Source organism: Homo sapiens, chromosome 6 (genome assembly GCF_000001405.40).
Source record: "Homo sapiens chromosome 6, GRCh38.p14 Primary Assembly".
NCBI lineage: Eukaryota > Metazoa > Chordata > Mammalia > Primates > Hominidae > Homo > Homo sapiens.
Window position 1 is genome coordinate 61707195 of NC_000006.12, and position 21987 is coordinate 61729181.

The 21987-nt window shown below is 35.2% G+C and overlaps 1 protein-coding gene across 7 annotated transcripts in view; it reads right to left on the reverse strand.

Annotated features, from left to right (window-relative positions):
- The window catches only part of KHDRBS2 (KH RNA binding domain containing, signal transduction associated 2), a 743556-nt gene that overhangs the window by 164525 nt on the left and 557044 nt on the right, over positions 1-21987 (reverse strand). For 2 of the 7 annotated variants that reach the window (NR_146871.3, NR_146872.2), the window contains exon 8: positions 136-209. The exons of the other annotated variants lie outside the window; for them this stretch is intronic. The gene's annotated coding sequence lies outside the window, so the exon portion shown is untranslated. The remainder of the gene's footprint in view (positions 1-135; positions 210-21987) is intronic. 7 annotated transcript variants of the gene reach the window in all.

The window sequence follows — 21987 nt, forward strand, 5'->3', positions numbered from 1 at the left end:
GTCAAGGAATGGCAAGAGCCAGAGTGTCAGGGCAGAGGAAGCAAGAGAGAGTTGCAGATGAGGTGGGGGATCAAGGATTCTACTCCATGTCCACCCCTAAGTGCAGTCTTTCCCAAAGTTGTATCATGAACTCACTTGGCTGTCTATCTTCTTCATCTTTGCCATCAGGTCCATTCCTAAGCCTTCATTGACCACAAACTCTGTAAGTTCTATAAAGAAATTTCCAATATAAAAATAGAAGTTGTAACATTAGCATCAAAGTGGCATGACTGTTTAAAAATATTGGGTTTAATTCTGTTAAGGTTAAAAATATACATTTTCCATTCAAATGCTAAAAGCCAATTATTTTAGTTAAATGCAAAATTACAGTGATTTGGGAAAACATTAGTTTATTTGAAAGTAACCACATTCAAGCAAGCTTGAATTTTGATAACTAAATTAAATAAATGAGTAGTAGTCTCCGAATCCGGTCATGATTAACACTATCAATACTACAAGCTAGTATTAATACTAATACTGTAAGTAGATAGAAGTGAAGTTATATACTATTTATCGGCTGCTGTTAATTTCAAGGGATGAGAAATGAAATGCTCTGAGTCATTAAAATAGATAGGTATAACAAACAAGTATGATACATCCAGTCATAATGGAAAACCATGGGAAAGATAATATATTCTATACGTAACTGCTATTATGAGTTAATTCCTATAGAGTTAAAAATTCTTAAACAATCTCTTTTTATAATAAAATCACAGGTGCCAATATCATTGGAATGGACAAGCTATTTAAATATAAAAAATATATAGCTTATTTAGCCAGCATTTGGTGCACATATTTTAGACAGTTAATTTTTCATTCAAGATTTTTTCCATTTAGAAATTGGCCTTTAATCTGAGGACTTCAAGATAATTAAAACATACAAGTTAATCTCTCTGATATTAGAAATTAGTGCTCACATGTGTGATTATTTGCTTTGCTGAGAATTCAGTTTCCTTACATTCACATTGTTATGAAAATAAACCACATCAACCCTTTAAACTCCCTAAATAACTTTTATTTTACACATTTTAAGTATAGGAATATTAAAATATATTCAAAGAAGCAGAAATATCTCAACAATTTTTACTCAAAAATTGAAAAATTGATCATTTTGTGTACTAAAAAATATTAAATAAAATATATTGTCTTTTTGCATGTATATGTTTCAATCCAAATGCAAATACATCTCTCTGTGCTCAAATATCACTGGCTCTCACAGACTAACAAAGCAAAGATCATGGGTTTTATTAGTATATTTCTAAAGTATCTTTGAAATTCCATTAAGATTAAATAATTTTTAAATATTTTTGAAATTTTATTACTGTATTATTTACTTATTCAATGCATTCAATGAATAATGTTACATGGAAAGCCTTGTGCTACAGGGCAGTCATGTTTGTGTATAAATGTAACATAACTTTTTGTCTTCCAAAATTAACGAGTACACTAAATACATTAAACATAAATAGATATATAGGTATATTGATAGATAGATAGTAAACAGTATAACTTCCTGCAGTTGTTTTTCTGACTGGTTTGTTTTGAGAAAGTCAAAGATGTAAATCTCCCACTCACAGCCAACTTATTGTGAGACAAGAAAAGACCATAGTCTCATGATGGAGAATAGCGAAGTCTCCATTCTGGGTTCCACTTGGAATACAATCAGTACTTTTTCTAAAAATTATATACAGAATCCAAAAACAGTATTTGAAATTAAAATTGAGAATTGCTGTGTGTCATTTTGGACAAATCATTTAATCTCACCAACTCCCAGTTTCCTGATCTTTAATATGGGCAATAGTGATGTCTACTTGAAGTATCAATGAGATAACCTGTGATAGGGCTGTTTTAAGTGTCTAGTACATATCAGGTGCTCAATAACTATTAATAATTGGTATTTGTCAACTCAGTAAACATATAGAAGCAAAGCTTCTCTTTTTCGTATGCATAAAGGTTGCAGCACTGGAGAGATTTCATCTTCTTGAAATATTCTGAAACATGAAATAACCATATATGCCCTCTTAAGTTTTAGTTGATGGTATTTAATGTTCACAGGATGAAATATAGGCGGATTATTCATGAGGACAGTGACATATTTGCTCTACTCATAGATTAAGAATCAAGATAGATGATCTATATAAGGCATCTAGTGTAGAATTATGATCAGCTTTGCAATGATTCCTTTTATAAAAAATGGGTATTTTGCCTCATTTGAGGCAACTTCATACCTCAAATAAGAAGGAAATATATTTATATATGCTTTTGCTTTTTGAATATAACAATGTGCATACAATTCTGCAAATTATCTCCCTTTATAAACACTCTTCAATATCTTCTTTTCAGTTTAGCTTTTATTTTTTGCTTACTTTGACCCTTTATTACATGAATGAGCGGTGAGCAATTTTATAACAAAACACTAATCTTTTGTTTTATTATGTAGAATTATTATTAGAACATAGCAAAAATTTTCTATAAATAATGCTTTCCACTGACTAATTAGGCTCAGTGGTACATGACGTTATTAAATGAACTGTTACATGCTTTTGGTACAAGTATATAGAAGCTATTGAACCCTAGTTTGAAATGGACATAATTTTAACTATATCACGTGTTTCTTTGGCTGTCACAATTCATGAGTTGTCAGTAGGATTTCAGTGCTGTAAATATCAGTATAATCTCTAGTTACTTCAATACTTTAATCTAGTTGACTTTGCTACTGAATTCATTGGTGCAAGCTGCACTACAGCTGTGTGTTAATAGTGATTTATATTCTTCCTCATTCAAGTCCCAAATGGAATCTCACCTGTGTTTGCATGATGTTCCAAAATCACTTGTTACTTATTAAGAAAAAGGTTATTTTCATGCATCAGACTTTAGAAATTTAAATGACCAGAGTCTGGGGAAAGAATATGTGAGTTGACAACAATGATTTCATTTTGACAGTTTTTCTTTGTGTAAGAAAAAAAAATGTCACATTCACCCAGAAACTCTTGGCATGTACCGAAAGTCAGGTGAAGTTTTTACTGTTTTGTGATTAGAAGCATTATAAAGCCTGCTTACTACAAAACATTAGTAATAATGCCAAATTACTGCAAAGAGAAAGGAAATCAGAATTCTGTTTGTCTTTGTTTACCATCACTGCGGCATACTTTGAACTCAATTTTAATTATGTATTTTCATGTCTTCCTCTTTTCTCAGACTGTGAGTGATTATTCCTTAGCATTGAGCACAAGTCCATTTTCTATGTTTTAATTCTACCCAGCCTCTTCCCTGTCACTTCTCTCTTAATATACTCTGTATCAAGGCATGGTGGAGTGTCTCTTAAAGACCCCAGTTTTTTTATGACTCTATGTCCCTAACTATGGTAATCTTTTTCTACATGGAACTCCTTCTACTTGTTCATCCAGGAAGGTATTCATCATCCTCCTGAGATTCAGCTCAATGGTCAGCTTTGTGTTATGTATTTACCCACCCTCCTAGGCAAGATTCACCCTTTCTCACTTGTCTTGTGTAAGACTCTGCTCATACCTTCAGGTAGATCAGCTCTCATTGTACCTGAGCTCTTTTTTTTTTTTTTTTAATCTTGATCTCATTCTTTATCACAATGGTTTTTAACATCTAGTATGCATAAGCATTATAAGGATGTTGTGCGAAAAATGCAGGCCTCTGAGCCCCATTCTTCAGATTTTGATGCAACTGGACTCAGCAGGGGCTCAGAAATCTGGAGTTTCATTTACAGTGTTCCTAATGCAGAAGCCCGAGATCATACTTTTTAAAAACCTATAGTAACTGTGAATTAATCAAAGCCTGAGCAATACCTTATTTGTTTCTGCATACATAAGTCAAGAATAGTGATATTCAATAAATATTTGTTGAATAAATGAATGAGTAATTTAAAAATACTAAATAATTTCTATGTGAATAATTTGTAAGCTGACTGACAGTACAGACACATAGATTTGTGGCTATGTTTACAACTGTTCTTATGGAACTTTAACTACCAGTCAATGTCAATTTAAGGGTTGCTACTAAACTTAATTCTTGGTATTCTTTTTTCCTAAAATTTTTCCTGAATAGTACTTGAATAAAAATGATAAATATAAGATGTGTTAGGAAGTATAACTAGTATCCTGTTTTAAGAATTTATATTCAAAAGATAGTTCAAAACCAGCAATAAGAAGCTTAAACAACAAGGTGAAATGTCACAGAGATAAATGTGCATTTCTAGGTTTAGGTTAAAAAAATCAATTGTGAAAACTCAAGATAATGTTAGAACTGGTTTGACAATAGTTAATTTAGAAACAACCTAAGTTTTCAGTTGGTAACAAGTTTAATAAAACACAATAATATGACATAGCCACTTAAGAAAACTACAACTTCAGATTATGTTGAAGGACTTTTGAAGAAAGAAACACAGGATGTAATAGTGCCATTTTTTTGTGCCAGTCAACTCTCATCTGATATATCTCAAGATCACTGAGCCCAACTTTAAGATGAACACTAGGACCACTGGAATGGTTTCAGAAGAAAACATCTAAGATATTTGGTGAAATGGGAATTATGATATACCAAGAATAGTTGAAGGAAATCAGGTCTATGGGCAATTATTCTTGATACCAGTTTGTTACTGGTATAGTAATGCTGCATAACAAACAACTACAAAATATCAACATCATACAACAATAAGAAATTACTTAGCTCATGTGCTTTTGGTTTCGCTGGAAGTTGGCTGATCTAGGCTGGGCTTCCTGTACTCTGTTCTAGCTATGCAAAGAGCTGGGCTTGGCACTCCCTGAGGTCTGAGCTCCTCATGTGTTCAATCTGAAGCCAAAACTAAGAGAAAATCAGGCACATGGGGGAGCTCTTTTCACGGCAATGGCAAGAAGACAAGCGGAAACACATAAACCTCCTAAGACCTAGGTTACCTAGAGGTGACTTTACTGTATCAGTTGAGGCAATATACATTACAGCAAAAAGTCAGAAAAACATACTCTGCCACTTTATTGAGAGGTACTGAAAAATCACACAGCAAAGGTCATGAAAGTAGGGAGGGGTGAAGAACTGTAGCCAAGAATACTCTACCGCATTCTGGGTTGGATATTGACAGAGGGATATTTTCTTCTTTAAGCAAGGCTGACATGTGGATGCAAAAACAACCTAGATTCATTTATGTGTAGGTTTACATGACACATTAGAGACCAATGTATGCAAATGGAGATTACAAGGAGGTAGGTGTTGTTTCAGTTTTAGAGTTTCCCAATAAGCTGAGGTGTTTAAAAAATAGAATGAAGTATTTGGGAAGCAATATGATATTAGGACAGAGAGTCCATCTTTGGAACTGGACAGAAACCAGTTTAAAGTTTGGACCTTTTACTTATTAAGCTATAAAGTCCTGAACATGGCAAACATTTTGAATCCTAGTTTCTTTATCTGTAACATGAGGATAAAATTATCTACTTCATTAGATAATGTTTACACAGTACTTAATACAGGCATCTGGCACATAGCAAATGCTTAGTATTGTAGCTATTATTATTAGTAGTAGTAACGTTCTACCTTTAGATATGGTTGTGCCCCCCACCTAGCCTTTTATACTTCTCTTTTGCTTCTTTCATATGTCTCCTATAATTTAATAGTACTGAATATTATGTAACTCAAGTCCACAATTATTTATCCTCAAATTCCAAATCCAAAAGCTATAAAACCAAAAGTTTCTTCTTAAATAGGGTGTCTGAAAGAATTAAGCAACAAAATTCTGACCTAAAGTGATAAAAAGCTATTTATAATGATTTATATCTTGCTTAGTATAGTTCTTCATATATTAAATACAATAATATTAATATATATTTTTGGCCCAGATGTCACAAGTAGTGATATGCAATATACAAAATATGTGTTGTATTGTCTTTCTAAAATACAAAAAATTCTGAATATGAAACATCTGGTGTACAGCATTGCAACTGGAGGATTGTGAACCTATACTTTAATGTACCATATTTGTTAACCATTCTGTTTCTAGCACCTAGCAAAATAGCAAACCCTTAATAAACATGAACTTAATAATATATCAAAAGATGTTGAAGAAATTTGAAATTCTAATTATAAAAAATAAATAATATCTGTATCTTCTTTTGACTCTATCCTATATTTTTCCCAGATAAATTTGATTTTTCTTTTCTGAGGTTCTCCAAAGATATAAAGTGTGTTGTTATTAGTTTTCCAATTCTATGATTTAAGATCACAAAGATCTATCTTTTTCCATGTGGACTGCAGTGTTAGAAGAGAAATATCTTCCTTATCTATATCCTTGTAGTACAATTTGAAGTCAGGTGATCTGATACCTTTAGCTTTTTTTTTTTTTTCCCTTAGGATTGCTTTGGCTTTTCAGGCTCTTTTTTTGATTCCATATGAATCTCAAGCATATAGTAAGCAAACAGCATGGGACTTGTATACAATATACACATAGATCAATGAAGCAGAATGTAGAACCCAGATATAAAACCACATATTTACAGCCATCTGATCACTGGCAAAACTGACAACAATATAGACTGGGGAAAGAACACACCTTCTTCAATAAAGGATGTTAGAAAAAATGGATGGCCATACACAGAAGAATGAAACTAGATCCCTATCTTTTACCATGTACTAAAGCCAACTCAAGATGTATTAAAGTCTTAAATGTAAGACCTGAAACTATAAAAGCACTAGAAAAAAACTTAGGAAAAACTCTTCTACGCTTTGGTCTAAGCAAATAATTCATGACTAAGACCACAAAAGCACAGGTAACAAAAACAGAAATAGACAAACGGGACTACATTAAATTAGAAAGCTTCTGCACAGCAAAATAAATAATTAATAGAGTGAGCAGACAACCTGCAGAATGGGAGAAAATATTTTAAAACTATTCATTTAACAAAGGACTAATATCCAGAATCTACAAGGAATCTAAACAACTCAACATAACAACAACAAAAAAACCCCCAAATAATCCCATTAAAAAGTAAGCAAACACATAAATAGACATTTTTTCAAAAGAAGACATAAAAATGACCAACATCAACATTACCAATCATTAGAGAAATGCAAATTAAAACCACAATAAGATACCATCTCACATCAGTCCAAATGGCTGTTATTAAAAAGTCAAAAATAGCAGATGTTGGCAAGGATGTGGAGAAAAGGAAATGTTTATAAATTGCTGGTGGAAATGTAAATTAGTACAACCTATATGGAAACTAGTATGTAGATTTCTCAAAGAACTAAAAATAGAACTGCCATTTGATACAGTGGTCCCACTACTGAGTAACTACCCAAAGGAAAATAAATCATTTTATATATACGTATAAAAAATACCTGCACTCATATGTTTATCACAGCACTATTCACTATAGCAAAGATATGTAATCAACCTAAGTGTCAATCAGTGATGACTGCATAAAGAAAACACAGTATATGTACACAATGGAATACTACTCATCCATAAAAAAGAATGAAATCATGTATTTTGCAACAACATGGATGGAACTGGAGGCTACTATCTTAAGTGAAATAACTTAAACACAGAAAGACAAATACTGCATTTCTCCCTTATAAGTAGAGCTAAATAATATGTACCCATGGATGTAGAGTGTGGAATGGCAGACAATGGAGACTCAGAAGAGTGGGGGAACCAGATGGTAAGTGGGTGATGAGAAATTACTTAATAGGTCCAATGTACAATATGTGGGTGATGGTTACCCTAAAAGCCCTGACTTCAATCTATGCATAGAAGAAATTACAACTATGCATAGAACAAATCTATGCATAGAACAAATTACAACTGTACCCCATAAATTTATACAACAAATATAAAAACATCTCTCTTCTCTCACTACCAATGTGCAAGTGCAAAATAACAAGACCTGGAGGCTGTTTTTTTAACATGCAAATTGACTAAGAAACCAAAGAAAACAACGAACGCATAGAAATGTTGCTCAAAAAAAGGATGGAATGGCAACCAATGGAGAATTTATTGAGCTCAGATAACTACATTGGCCTGGTGCAGAAAAAAGATGATTTTTTCCAAACATGAATTTGGTCTTGCTAAATTCTAGGTTTGATGATAACCTAAAACTCTATCCCAATACCACTTTTTTTCTTTTTTCCTAGTGGTATATTTAGGCTTTCTTGTTTCCTTCCTATCGCCTCAGCTATATGCCCCAACACTTTCAAATATCTGATCTGCCTGAAGAAAATGTAATTCTATAGTAATGAATCATATTCTCATTTCTTTGTCTTTGCAAGTGATGAGGTCCTTGCCTAAGTTTCACTTAACATTACAATCTCAGCCTGGCATCAGCTCTTCTGAGAAGCCTTGTAATACTTTCTCTTCACCCTCTATCTGTGTGACCTCCCATGCTCCCTCATGTCCTCTAACACATCCTCCCAGCACAGTACTTATCACATGCTATGTGTTTATTTGAGTGTCTCTCTTCTTCTCTAATTGTTTACAAATAGTCCTCTGTATTTTAGTAAGTCCTTCCTACTGTGCCTTTGGAAGAATTTCCTGTATACTGAGTTTTTTTTTTTTCTCTATCTTGATTATTTTGTGTTGGACAGAATTTAGAAAATCAGGACCATAGCTATCTATAGATATATTTGAATCCTTAAAATGTTTAATTTCTTTAAATTAGTTGCCAGTATCTAAAAATCAGAGTATTGCACAGAAAAACTGACGTAGCAGGTTATATTTTTTTAAAATGGCTACATTTTTTTTTCCATTCTCGAACCATGCTGTCACCCACTGACAGGTAAAGACTATTATCCCTTCTCTTGAATCTGGCTGGACTTGTGAGGTGCTTGTAACTACTAGCATGAGGCTAAGTCATAAAAAGTAATGCAACTTCTCTTTTGCTTTTCGGGATACTCATATCTGGTACCCTGAGCTGCCATGCTATGAGGAAGCCTAAGTGACATGGAGAGGACTGTATGGGTGTTCCATGCAGCAGTGCTAATTAAGGGACAAGCTGACAGCCAGCATCAACTGCTATATATAATATGAGAAGAATCCCCAGGTGATTTCACATCCCAGCCATTGAGTCACCCTTGGCTTCTGAGCCTTTGCAGCTGCGGCCCCAGACATAGTGAAGCAGAAACAAGCCACCCTTGTTGTACTTTGCTAAGACTCCAGATGTATAAAAAAATTCCTGAGCATAGTAAAAATGGTTGTTCTATACTACTAGGTTTTGGGGTGGTTTCTTGATGCAGGAATAGTAACTGGAAAATCTAGACTTCCAGCTCTTCTTGGGGAGGAAAAGATAACAAGCATTACTGACCTTCATTTTTTTAAAAAAACCTAGGCTACATGGCCACAATATCCTAATGTTGAAAAAACGATAGTCGCTTTAGATAGGGCACATACATTCCAGTCTGCCACAGTCTCTACCACTCCTTATTGCATACTTTGACAGTCGTATACATTCACAAACATTCCTGATTCCTTAAATATGTTATTCATATGTTAAACTTTTTTGTGTGTGTGTGAAGCTAGGCTTCTCTTCACCTACCAGTGAAACCAGAATTTCACCTTAGGTTCTTTCTGTCCTTAATGCTGGGCTTTTTGCAACACATCAGGTTCTTTCAGAATTTAGGATGATCTAATGCTTCCTATTTTTGAAGCACTGATTGTGTATGGTTTACCCAATACCTTCTTGTTTCCTCCTGAGGAGTGTTTCCAATTCTAAATTAACCTGGTGAGGAGAAATGACTGGCATGTTGACATGCCTTGATCTCAATAAAAGATTAAGCAGGTTTCAGTTACTATCTAAAACACTTCCTTAGGTTTTCTTGAGAGACTTGTCATTCATGTGAGTAGAGAAAATGGTTTTTCTAACTCTTCTTATTAGAGTTTCATAAAAACTATTTTAATGGTATATTTTTAAATACAGATTGACTATTTAAACTACTTAGGCAAGTAGTTTAGTTATTATCAAAATTAACCTTAAATTAATTAAAAATCGACAAATACAATGTATACATACTGATAATTTGAGGAAACACATTGTTTCTTTCCTAAAACTAACAGTGGTTCTCTGAAGTGCCTAAAATAAATACGTCAAATAAGAACTAAAAAAGAGAGAGAGAAAAAAAACAGTGTTTATTGAGAGCTGAATTCTCATCCTGTGATGGTAAATTCAAACAATATCAAACCTACTGTTTATGCATGCAGAGGTCTGTAGATGGCAGGAACATACAATTAAATTGTAGAATAACTGTGGGAAAGTAATTAAATCCAATAACCTTCTGTAAATTCAATCTCATCATAGACTATAGCATTGAGACATTAGAGAAATAAATTACAAAACGAGGGCGAGTGACTTTATAGTGAATAGTGCCACTTAAATGAATAGGACAAGCTTAATATTATAACTTTTATTAAGTTACTGGATAACTGCAGTGTTTCACACTTTAGTTTTCATTAGAGGGATTTCTGTAGACTCAGTATCAAATATAAGGACTTACATTAAACATATAGCCTAAAAACAGTAAATAATTTCTTCTTTTTTTCTTGCTCAGAAGTATCTTTTGGTCAGAACTTTTTGCAAAGCATGCAGATAGCTCCCTATTTTCTTATATTAAATGCATATTCTCTCTGGCCTTTTGAGGTACATAACAGACGTCTGAATTGATTTAGGTTTTCAGGTAGTAGTATCTGTTGGTCTTTATGTCTAACACCGTGGAGTTGGCAGATATGGGTTCAAATCCAACATTTACTATTTAAATATATTATACTTGGAAAAATCACTTAACATTTCTAAAATTTAAATTTTCTCTATATAAAATGAGGAAAAAAATACCTGCTTCATATGTTGTTGCAGGGATTAAATGAGATAAAACACCTCCCAACACTTAGCGTAGCAGCTAGCACAAAATGATTGTTAGCTATTATAAACTGATAGCTCCAAGTAGTGTTTGAGCAAAAAAAGCAGTGGCTCCCATCCTATAGGCTCTGACCCTTGAGGAGCTAAGAAGTTTGTGCGAGGGGTTTGAGAACCTATTTTTCCACCAAATGTAGATATGTATATTCACTGTATATTCTTTCTTTTGCTTTCTCATAAATAAAATATACATTGTATTTAAAAGCATTACTGTTTCCATAACAATTTCATATCATTATTTATATGTTCAAGCAACTGGCACTAATATGTACAATTACTACTTATTGAAGTGTGATAAAAATTTTAGATGTTGTGCTGGATCTTTTCAATTTGCTGTCCCACTTTCTTTCTTGCCTCCATCCTGTTCTCTCCCTAGAGGATGACTAATGGCAACACCGTCTATTGGATTGGTTTTCCTCTGCTTCCTACTGGGTCCATCCAGTGGGAGTAATGGTAGGAGACTGGCAGGAGAAAGGAGAGTGAGATCAGGATAGAAACTCCCTGTACTTCCTCCTGTAGGATGGCCGTGGTTGCCATTCTGAAGTAGAGGTCTCAGTTCCTGTCAGGTGGCCTCTCCCACAGCTTTCTCTGTTTCCCTTTAATTTCTATTTTTGGTAGTAGAGCACCTCACCTTATGGATACTATCTTCAGGGGACTAAATTGTCCCTTGTGGTACTCGTCCACTGAAAATAGTTCCCTGGTTAAACTCTCCACAAATTATCCTAATTTAGGAGTCTAATTCCCCGCCCCCACACTGTTTCAGCCCTGATAACTACAAATATTCAAAAAAGGTTTTCATTCTAGAACACTTTATAATAATGCCTTATATTTCAGAGGGAGGTGTCTATCTACATCTATATCTATGTCTAATCTACATCTGTATCTATACATCTTTGCTCTCCTAGTACATTCTCCACAGAAGGGAGGCTTCTTTTCCTAGGTTGTGTGAGTTCCTCACCTGATACATTATTTAAGAAAAGCAAAGACTTCCATTTAAATATTTTGCCTATTATACCAATCTACAGTTAAAATTTTACATTGGAAGATTATAAATTTTTAACATTTCACATCCAAATTAAATTACTATTAGAATCAAAGATCTGAATTGGTCTTTTGGCTTTTATTTGCAATATTGCCACTTGTATCTAAGTAAATGAAAACCACTTTTTTTCTACTTGTATAATTTGGTTTGGTAGAGCTGTTTTTCTTTTTTTTTTAATTTGGACATTGGGAAATGTTGACAAAATCTTGTGAATTTCCATGATTTCAGAAGGTTGACCTTTGAAAATGTTAATGTCTTTGAGGAGTATGTAGAAAAAAAAAGGTTATCAGAACATGAACAGAATTTAAATGTTTGGTCCAATTAAAGGTGTTAATCCCAGGATGTAACTTGCCTTAAGTCAAAACTTCAAGTATGTGAGTTCCCCTGGAAACTGTAATACTAGCCCTGCAATTTGAAGCTTGCATAATCAACTCATCAATTTATTTCTTTACTTTTTCTCCTCATAGACACAGGGTAAGAGAAAAAGATGATGGTCAGAGACACCTTATATCATTGTCATCTTTACCAGTCATTAATGTCATTCAGTTAAGCTGCCTCCTATGGACTCTTTTTTTTAAATTTATTTATTTATTATTATTATACTTTAAGTTTTAGGGTACATGTGCATAATGTGCAGGTTAGTTACATATGTATACATGTGCCATGTTGGTGTGCTGCACCCACTAACTCGTCATCTAGCATTAGGTACATCTCCCAGTGCTATGCCTCCCGCCTCTTCCCACCCCACAACAGTCCCCAGAGTGTGATGTTCCCCTTCCTGTGTCCATGTGTTCTCATTGTTCAATTCCCACCTATGAGTGAGAATATGCGGTGTTTGGTTTTTTGTTCTTGCGATAGTTTACTGAGAATGATGATTTCCAATTTCATCCATGTCCCTACAAAGGACATGAACTCATCATTTTTATGGCTGCATAGTATTTCAAGGTGTATATGTGCCACGTTTTCTTAATCCAGTCTATCATTGTTGGACATTTGGGTTGGTTCCAAGTCTTTGCTATTGTGAATAATGCCGCAATAAACATACGTGTGCATGTGTCTTTGTAGCAGCATGATTTAGAGTCCTTTGGGTATATAACCAGTAATGGGATGGCTGGGTCAAATGGTATTTCTAGTTCTAGATCCCTGAGGAATTGCCACACTGACTTCCACAATGGTTGAACTAGTTTACAGTCCCACCAACAGTGTAAAAGTGTTCCTATTTCTCCACATCCTCTCCAGCACCTGTTGTTTCCTGACTTTTTAATGATTGCCATTCTAACTGGTGTGAGATGGTACCTCATTGTGGTTTTGATTTGCATTTCTCTGATGGCCAGTGATGGTGAACATTTTTTCATGTGTTTTTTGGCAGCATAAATGTCTTCTTTTGAGAAGTGTCTGTTCATGTCCTTTGCCCACTTTTTGATGGGCTTGTTTGTTTTTTTCTTGTGAATTTGTTTGAGTTCATTGTAGATTCTGGATATTAGCCCTTTGTTAGACGAGTAGGTTGCGAAAATTTTCTCCCATTTTATAGGTTGCCTGTTCACTCTGATGGTAGTTTCTTTTGCTGTGCAGAAGCTCTTTAGTTTAATTAGATCCCATTTGTCAATTTTGGCTTTTGTTGCCATTGCTTTTGGTGTTTTAGACATGAAGTCCTTGCCCATGCCTATGTCCTGAATGGTAATGCCTAGGTTTTCTTCTAGGGTTTTTATGGTTTTAGGTCTAAGGTTTAAGTCTTTAATCCATCTTGAATTGATTTTTGTATAAGGTGTAAGGAAGGGATCCAGTTTCAGCTTTCTACATATGGCTAGCCAGTTTTCCCAGCACCATTTATTAAATAGGGAATCCTTTCCCCATTGCTTGTTTTTCTCAGGTTTGTCAAAGATCAGATAGTTGTGGATATGCGGCATTATTTCTGAGGGCTCTGTTCTGTTCCATTGATCTGTATCTCTGTTTTGGTACCAGTACCATGCTGTTTTGGTTACTGTAGCCTTGTAGTATAGTTTGAAGTCAGGTAGTGTGATGCCTCCAGCTTTGTCCTTTTGGCTCCGGATTGACTGGGCGACGCGGGCTCTTTTTTGGTTCCATATGAACTTTAAAGTAGTTTTTTCCAATTCTGTGAAGAAAGTCACTGGTAGCTTGATGGGGGTGGCATTGAATCTGTAAATTACCTCGGGCAGTATGGCCATTTTCACGATATTGATTCTTCCTACCCATGAGCATGGAATGTTCTTCCATTTGTTTGTATCCTCTTTTATTTCCTTGAGCAGTGGTTTGTAGTTCTCCTTGAAGAGGTCCTTCACGTCCCTTGTAAGTTGGATTCCTAGGTATTTTATTCTCTTTGAAGCAATTGTGAATGGGAGTTCACTCATGATTTGGCTCTCTGTTTGTCTGTTGTTGGTGTATAAGAATGCTTGTGATTTTTATACATTGATTTTGTATCCTGAGACTTTGCTGAAGTTGCTTATCAGCTTAAGGAGATTTTGGGCTGAGACGATGGGGTTTTCTAGCTATACAATCATGTCATCTGCAAACAGGGACAATTTGACTTCCTCTTTTCCTAATTGAATACCTTTTATTTCCTTCTCCTGCCTAATTGCCCTGGCCAGAACTTCCAACACTATGTTGAATAGGAGTGGTGAGAGAGGGCACCCCGTCTTGTGCCAGTTTTCAAAGGGAATACTTCCAGTTTTTGCCCATTCAGTATGATATTGGCTGTGGGTCTGTCATAGATAGCTCTTATTATTTTGAGATACGTCCAATCAATACCTAATTTATTGAGAGTTTTTAGCATGAAGAGTTGTTGAATTTTGTCAAAGGCCTTTTCTGCATCTATTGAGATAATCATGTGGTTTTTGTCTTTGGTTCTGTTTATATGCTGGATTACATTTATTGATTTGCGTGTGTTGAACCAGCCTTGAATCCCAGGGATGAAGCCCACTTGATCATGGTGGATAAGCTTTTTGATGTGCTGCTGGATTCGGTTTGCCATTATTTTATTGAGGATTTTTGCATCAATGTTCATCAAGGATATTGGTCTAAAATTCTCTTTTTTGGTTGTGTCTCTGCCCGGCTTTGGTATCAGGATGATGCTGGCTGGTGAAACACCTTTTCTGATTCATTTGAAATTTTCCTGAACTAGCAATACCTTGCAAAATAACTGGGGGATTAATTAAAATTGTTATAGCTGCTGAACTTCAGGTGAACCTTTGTAGGATTGTTACCTTGTGAACCTCCTCTAGAATCTCTACTGAGGATGATATAATTATTCCATTTAGGCATCTTCCAGATTCTATTTTATAATCTCACAAATTCTATGTTCACTTATGCTAACTAATCAGTTAAAGTCCATTTTCTCTAAATATTTTTATCTTTTATCTTAGTTCTACTAAGTCACACATATTCTACTATTTTATTTTCACAATTCAAAATCAGCATTTCTTCTGATTTAGACTGTGACAGTGCTCATATAATATTAATATTGTTTGTAAATGCTGGAGGATGATTCTAATTATATATTTCTATTTTTTTTTTTTTAGATGGAGTCTCGCTCTGTCACCCAGGCTGGAGTACAGTGGCGCGATCTTGGCTCACTCTAAGCTCCGCCTCCCGGGTTCACAACATTCTCCTGCCTCAGCCTCCTCAGTAGCTGGGACTACAAGCGCCCACCACCATGCCTGGCTAATTTTTTGTACTTTTAGTAGAGATGGGGTTTCACCATGTTAGCCAGGATGGTCTCGATCTCCTCACCTCGTGATCTGCTGGCCTTGGCCTCCCAAAGTGCTGGAATTACAGGCATGAGCTGCGGCGAGGAAGAAGCAGAGGAAGAAGCAGGCTGCCATCTTTGATGTTTTGCAGCTTTCACTGGTGATACCTTCAGGTATGGGAAAAACTGAGGCAACTAGGGTCTGAAGCAGACCCAAGCAAACCACAGCAGGACTATAGACAAGTGGCCTGACCATAAAAAACAAACAAACAAACAAACAAACAGAAAACAACAATAATATCAACAAAAAGAACCCACAAAAACCCCATTCAATGGTTTGCAACCTCAAAGATCAAAGGTAGATAAGGCCACAAAGATGAGAAAGAATCAATGCAAAAATGCTGAAAACTCAAAAAGCCAGAGAGCCTCTTCTCCAAATGACCACAACACCTCCCCAAGGAGGTCAAAGAACTGTGCTGAGGCTGAAATGGCTGAATTGACAGAAGTAGACTTCAGAAGGTACGTAATAACAAACTTTGCTAAGCTAAAGGAGCAAGCTGTAAAACAATTGCAAAGAAGCTAAGAATTATAATAAAACAATACAGAAGCTGCACTGCACTCCAGCCTGGCAACAGAGAAAGACTCCATCTCAAAAACAAACAAACAAACAAACAAACAAAAAAACAACAATACAGAAGCTGATAGGCAGAATAGCCAGTTTAGAGAGGAACATAACTGACCTGATGGAGCTGAAAAACTCAATACGAGAACGTCACAATGCAATCAGAAGTATCAATAGCAGAATAGACTGAGTGGATGAAAGACAGAGCTTGAAGACTATCTTTTGAAATAAGATAGGCATACAAGAATAGAGAAAAAAGAATGAAAAAGAATGAACAATACCTCTGATTAATATGGGATTATTTAAAGAGAGCAGACCTATGACTGATTGGGGTACCTGAAGGAGAGGGAGAATGGAACGAAGTTGTAAACTTGAATATCATCCAGAAGAACTTCCCCAACCTAGCAACACAGGCCAATATTCAAATTCAGGAAATGTAGAGAACCCCAGTAAGATACTCCATGAGAAGATCAACCCCAAGGCACATAATCATCAGATTTTCCAAGGTTGAAGTGAAAGAAAAGTAATTTAAGGGCAAGCCAGAGAGAAAGACCAGGTCACCTGCAAAGCAAAGCCTATCAGACTAGTGGAGAACCTCTCAGTGGAAACCCTATAAGCCAGGAGAGATTGGGGGCCAATATTCAATATTGTTAAAGAAAAGAACTTCTAATCCAGAATTTCATATCTGACCAAACTAAGCTTCATAAATGATGGAGAAATAAGATCATTTTCAGACAAGCAAATGTGGAGGGAATTTGTCACCACCAGGCCTATATCACAAGAGCTTCTTAAAAATAGACTAAATATGGAAAGAAAAAACCATTACCAGCCACTGTAAAAACACACTGAAGTACAGACCAGTGATACTATGAAGCAACCATGTGAACAGTCTGCAAAATAATCAGCTAGCATCATGATGAAAGGATCAAATTTACATATAACAATACTAACTTTAAAGGTAAATGGACTCATTGCCCCAATTAAAAGACAGAATGGCAAGCTGGATAAAGAGCCTAGACCCATAGGTATGTTGTCTTCAAGAGACCCATCTCATGTGCAAAGACACACATAGGCTCAAAATAAAGGGATGGAGGAGAATTTACCAAGCAAACGGAAAACGAAAAAGCAGGGGTTGTAATCCTAGTTTGTGACAAAATAGACTTTAAACCAACAAAGATCAAAATGGACAAAGAAAGGCAATACATAATGGTAAAGGGTTAAACTCAACAAGAAGAGCTAACTATCATAAATATATATGCACCCAATACAGGAACAACCAGATTCATAAAACAAGTTCTTAGAGACCTACAAGGAGACTTAGGACTCCCATACAATAGTAGTGGGAGACTTTAACATTGCACTGACAATATTAGACAGATAATCTAAACAGAAAATTAACAAAGTTATTCAGGACCTGAACTCAGCTCTGTATCAAGTGGACCTGATAGATATATACAGAAATCTCCACCCCAAAACAAGAGCATATACATTCTTCTCATCATGACATGGCACTTATTCTAAAATTGAGCACATAATCAAGTAAAACATTCCTCAGCAAATGCAAAAGAACTGAAATCATAACAGTGTCTCAGACCACAGTGCAATCAAATTTGATCTCAAGATTAAGAAATTCACGAAAAATCACACAACTACATGGAAATTGAACAACTGATCCTGAATGACTTTTGGGTAAATAAGGCAGAAATTAAGAAGTTTTTTGAAACTAATTAGAACAAAGAGACAATGTACCAGAAACTCTGGGACACAGCTAAAGTAGTGTTAAGAGGGAAATTTATAGTAATAAATGCCCATATGTAAAAGCTAGAAATATCTCAAGTTAACAACCTAACATCTCAACTAAAAGAAATAGAGAACCAAGAGCAAACAAACCCCAAAGCTAGTAGGAGACAGGAATAACCCAGATCAAAGTGGAACTAATGGAGATAGAGACATGAAAATCCTTTCAGAAAACAATGAATCCAGGAGCTGGTTTTTTGAAACCATTAAAAAAATAGATCAACTGTTATCTAGCCTAATAAAGAAGAAAAGAGAAAAGAATCAAATAAACACAATCAGAAATGATAAGGGGGATATCACCACTGACCCCACAGAAATACAAACGACCATCAGAGAATACTATAAACACCTCTATGCACATAAACTAGACAATCTATAAGAAATGCATAAATTCCTGGACACCTATGCCTTCATAAGACTAAGCTAGGAAGAAATTTTATGCCTGAATAGACTAATAACGAGTTCTGAAATTGAGGCAGTAATAAATAGCCCACCAACCAAAAAAATCTCAGGACCAGAATCTCAGATAGATTCACAGCTGAATTCTACCAGAGGTACAAAGATGAGCTAGTAGTGTACTGAAAGTATTCCAAAAAATTGAAAAGGAGGGACTCCTCCTAAACTCCTTCTATGAGGCTGGCATCATCCTGATGCCAAAACCTGGCAGAGATACAAGAAACAAAGAAAACTTCAGGCCAATATCCCTGCTGAACATCAATGCAACAATCCTCAATAAAATACTAGAAAACTGAATCCAGCAGCACATCAAAAAACTTATTTAACATGATCCAGTTGGCTCCATCCCCAGGATGCAAGGTTGGTTCAACATACAGATATCAATAAATTTGGTTCATCGCATAAACAGAACTAATAGATGCAGAAAAGGCCTTCAATAAAATTCAACATCCCTTCATTTTAAAAACTCTCAATAAACGAGATACTAAAGGAACATACCTCAAAATAATATGAGTCAGATATAACAAACTCACAGCTAATATCATACTAAATGGGCAAATGCTGGAAGCATTCCTCTTACAAACTGGCACAAGACAAGGATGCCTTCTCTCACCACTCTTATTCAACTTAGTACTGGAAGTTCTGGCCAGGGCAATCAGGCAAGAGAAAGAAACAAAGCATATTCAAATAGGGAGAGAAGAAGTCGAACTCTCTTTATTTGCAGATGACATAATCCTATATCCAGAAAACTCATCATCTCAGCCAAAAAGCTTCTTAATCTAATAAGCAACTTCAGCAAAGCCTCAGGATACAAAATCAGTGTGCAAAAATCGCTAGCATTCCTATACATCAACAATAGACAAGCAGAGAGCCAAATCATGAATAAACTCCCATTGATCACTGCCACAAAAAGAATAAAATATCTAGAAGTCCAGCTAGCAAGGGAAGTGACGGATCTCTTCAAAGAGAACTACAAACCGCTGCTCAAGGAAATCAGAGAGGAAGCAATAAATGGAAAAACATTCCATGCTTATGGATAGGAAGAATCAATATCATGAAAATGACCACAGTGCCCAAAGTAATTTATAGATTCAATACTATTCCCATTAAAACTACCATTGACATTCTTCACAGAATTAGAAAAAAATATTTTAAAATTCATATGGAACCAAAAAAGAGCCTGAATAGCCAAGAGAATCCTAAGCAAAGAGAACAAAGCTGGAGACATCACGCTACCTGAATTCAAGCCATACTACAAGTCTACAGTAACCAAAACAGCACAATACTGGTACAAAAACAAACATATAGAACAATGGAACAGAATAAAGAACTCAGAAATAAGACCACACACCTACAACCATCTGATCTTCTGATCTTCAACAAACCTGACAAAAACAAGCAATGGGGAAAGGGTTACCTACTTAATAAATGGTTCTGGTAGAACTGTCTAGCCATATGGAGAAAATTGAAACTGGACCCCTTCCTTACACCATATACAAAAATTAACTCAAGATAAATTAAATACTTAAATGTAAAATCCAAACTATAAAAACTCTAGAAGAAGAGCTAGGCAATACTATTCAGGACATAGACACAGGCAAAGATTTCATGCTGAAAATGCCAAAAGCAATTGCAACAATGGCAAAAATTGACAAATGGAATCTAACTAAAGAGCTTCTTCTGCACAGCAAAATAAACTATCATCAGAACGAACAGAATGGAAGAAAAATTCTACAGAATGGAAGAAAAATTTTGCAACCTATCCATCTGTCAAAGGTCTAATATCCAGAGTCTACAAGGACCTTAAACAAATTTACAGGAAACAAACAACCCCATTAAAAACTGGGCAAAGGACCTGAACAGATACTTCTCAAAAGAATACATATATGTGACTAACAAACATGAAAAAAGCTTAACATCACTGATCATTAGAGAAAAATCAAAACCAAAATGAGATAACATCTCACACCAGTCAAAATTGCTATTATTAAAAAGTCAAAAAACATGCTCGTGAAGTTGCAGGCAAAAACAAACACTTTTACACTGTTGGTGGGAGCTTAAATTAGTTAAACTATTGTGGAAGACAGTGGATTGATTTCTCAAATACTGAGAAGCAGAAATACCCTTTGACCCAGCAATCCCATTACTGGGTATGTACCCAAAGTAATATAAATCATTTTATTATAAAGATACATGCACACATATGTTCACTGAAGCACTATTCACAATAGCAAAGACATGGAATCAACCTAAACCATGTTGGGTTGATTACCCAACATGATAGACTGGATATAGAAAATGTGGTACATATACATCATGGAATACTATGCAGCCATAAAAAGGAATGAGATTCTGTTCTTTGCAGGGACATGGATGAAATTGGAAGCCATTATCCTTAGCAAACTAATGCAGGAAGAGAAAACCAAAAACCACATGTTCTCATTTATTAACGGGGAGCTAAATGATGAGAACACAGGGACACACAGGGGGAGCAAGACACACTGGGGCCTCTTGGAGGGGGGTTGTGGAGGGAGGGAGGGCATCAGGAAGAATAGCTAATGGATGCTGGGCTTAATACCTAGGTGATGGGATAATCTGTGCAGCAAACCAGCATGGCACTTGTTTACCTATGTAATACACCTGAACATCCTGCACATGGACTCTGAATTTAAAATAAAAGTTGAAGAAAAAAAAAGATTTAGCTACAAAGATATTAATCACATATTTGTTTAGAGTTATGAAAAACTGAAAATAACTTAAACATTTAACTGTACTGGAATGATTAAATTGTGATCAAATCATAGAATGAAACAATGTACAGCCATTAAAGATTATGTTGTAGACATTCATTTATTAACATAGATAGATGTTCTTATGTGCTGGAGAGTTAAACTTAAATTTCAAAACAGTTTGCAGTATATGATTTCAAATGTAGGTAGATGTATTAACACACATGAAAGATAGATAAAAAGATGATACATTGATAAATAGATACTCCAAAAATGTTCACAACAGCTGTTTCTGGGTGACTGTATTTATCTTCTTCTTTTTTTACTATATTTTCTTTTTAAAAAAACTTTTAAGTTCAGGGATACAAGTGAAGGTTTGTTATTAGATTAGTTCAGCCATTGTGGAAGACAATGTAATGATTCTTCAAAGACCTAAAGCCATAAATACCATTCTACCCAACAATCCCATTATTGGGCATATACCAAAAGGAATATAAATCATTCTGTTATAAAGACACATGCACTTGTATGTTTATTGCAGCACTAGTCACAATAGCAAAGACGTGGAATCAACCTAAATGCCCATCACTGATAGACAGGATAAAGAAAATGTGGTAGATATACACCATGGAATACTAGGCAGCCATAAAAAAGAATGAGATCATGTCCTTTGTAGGCAC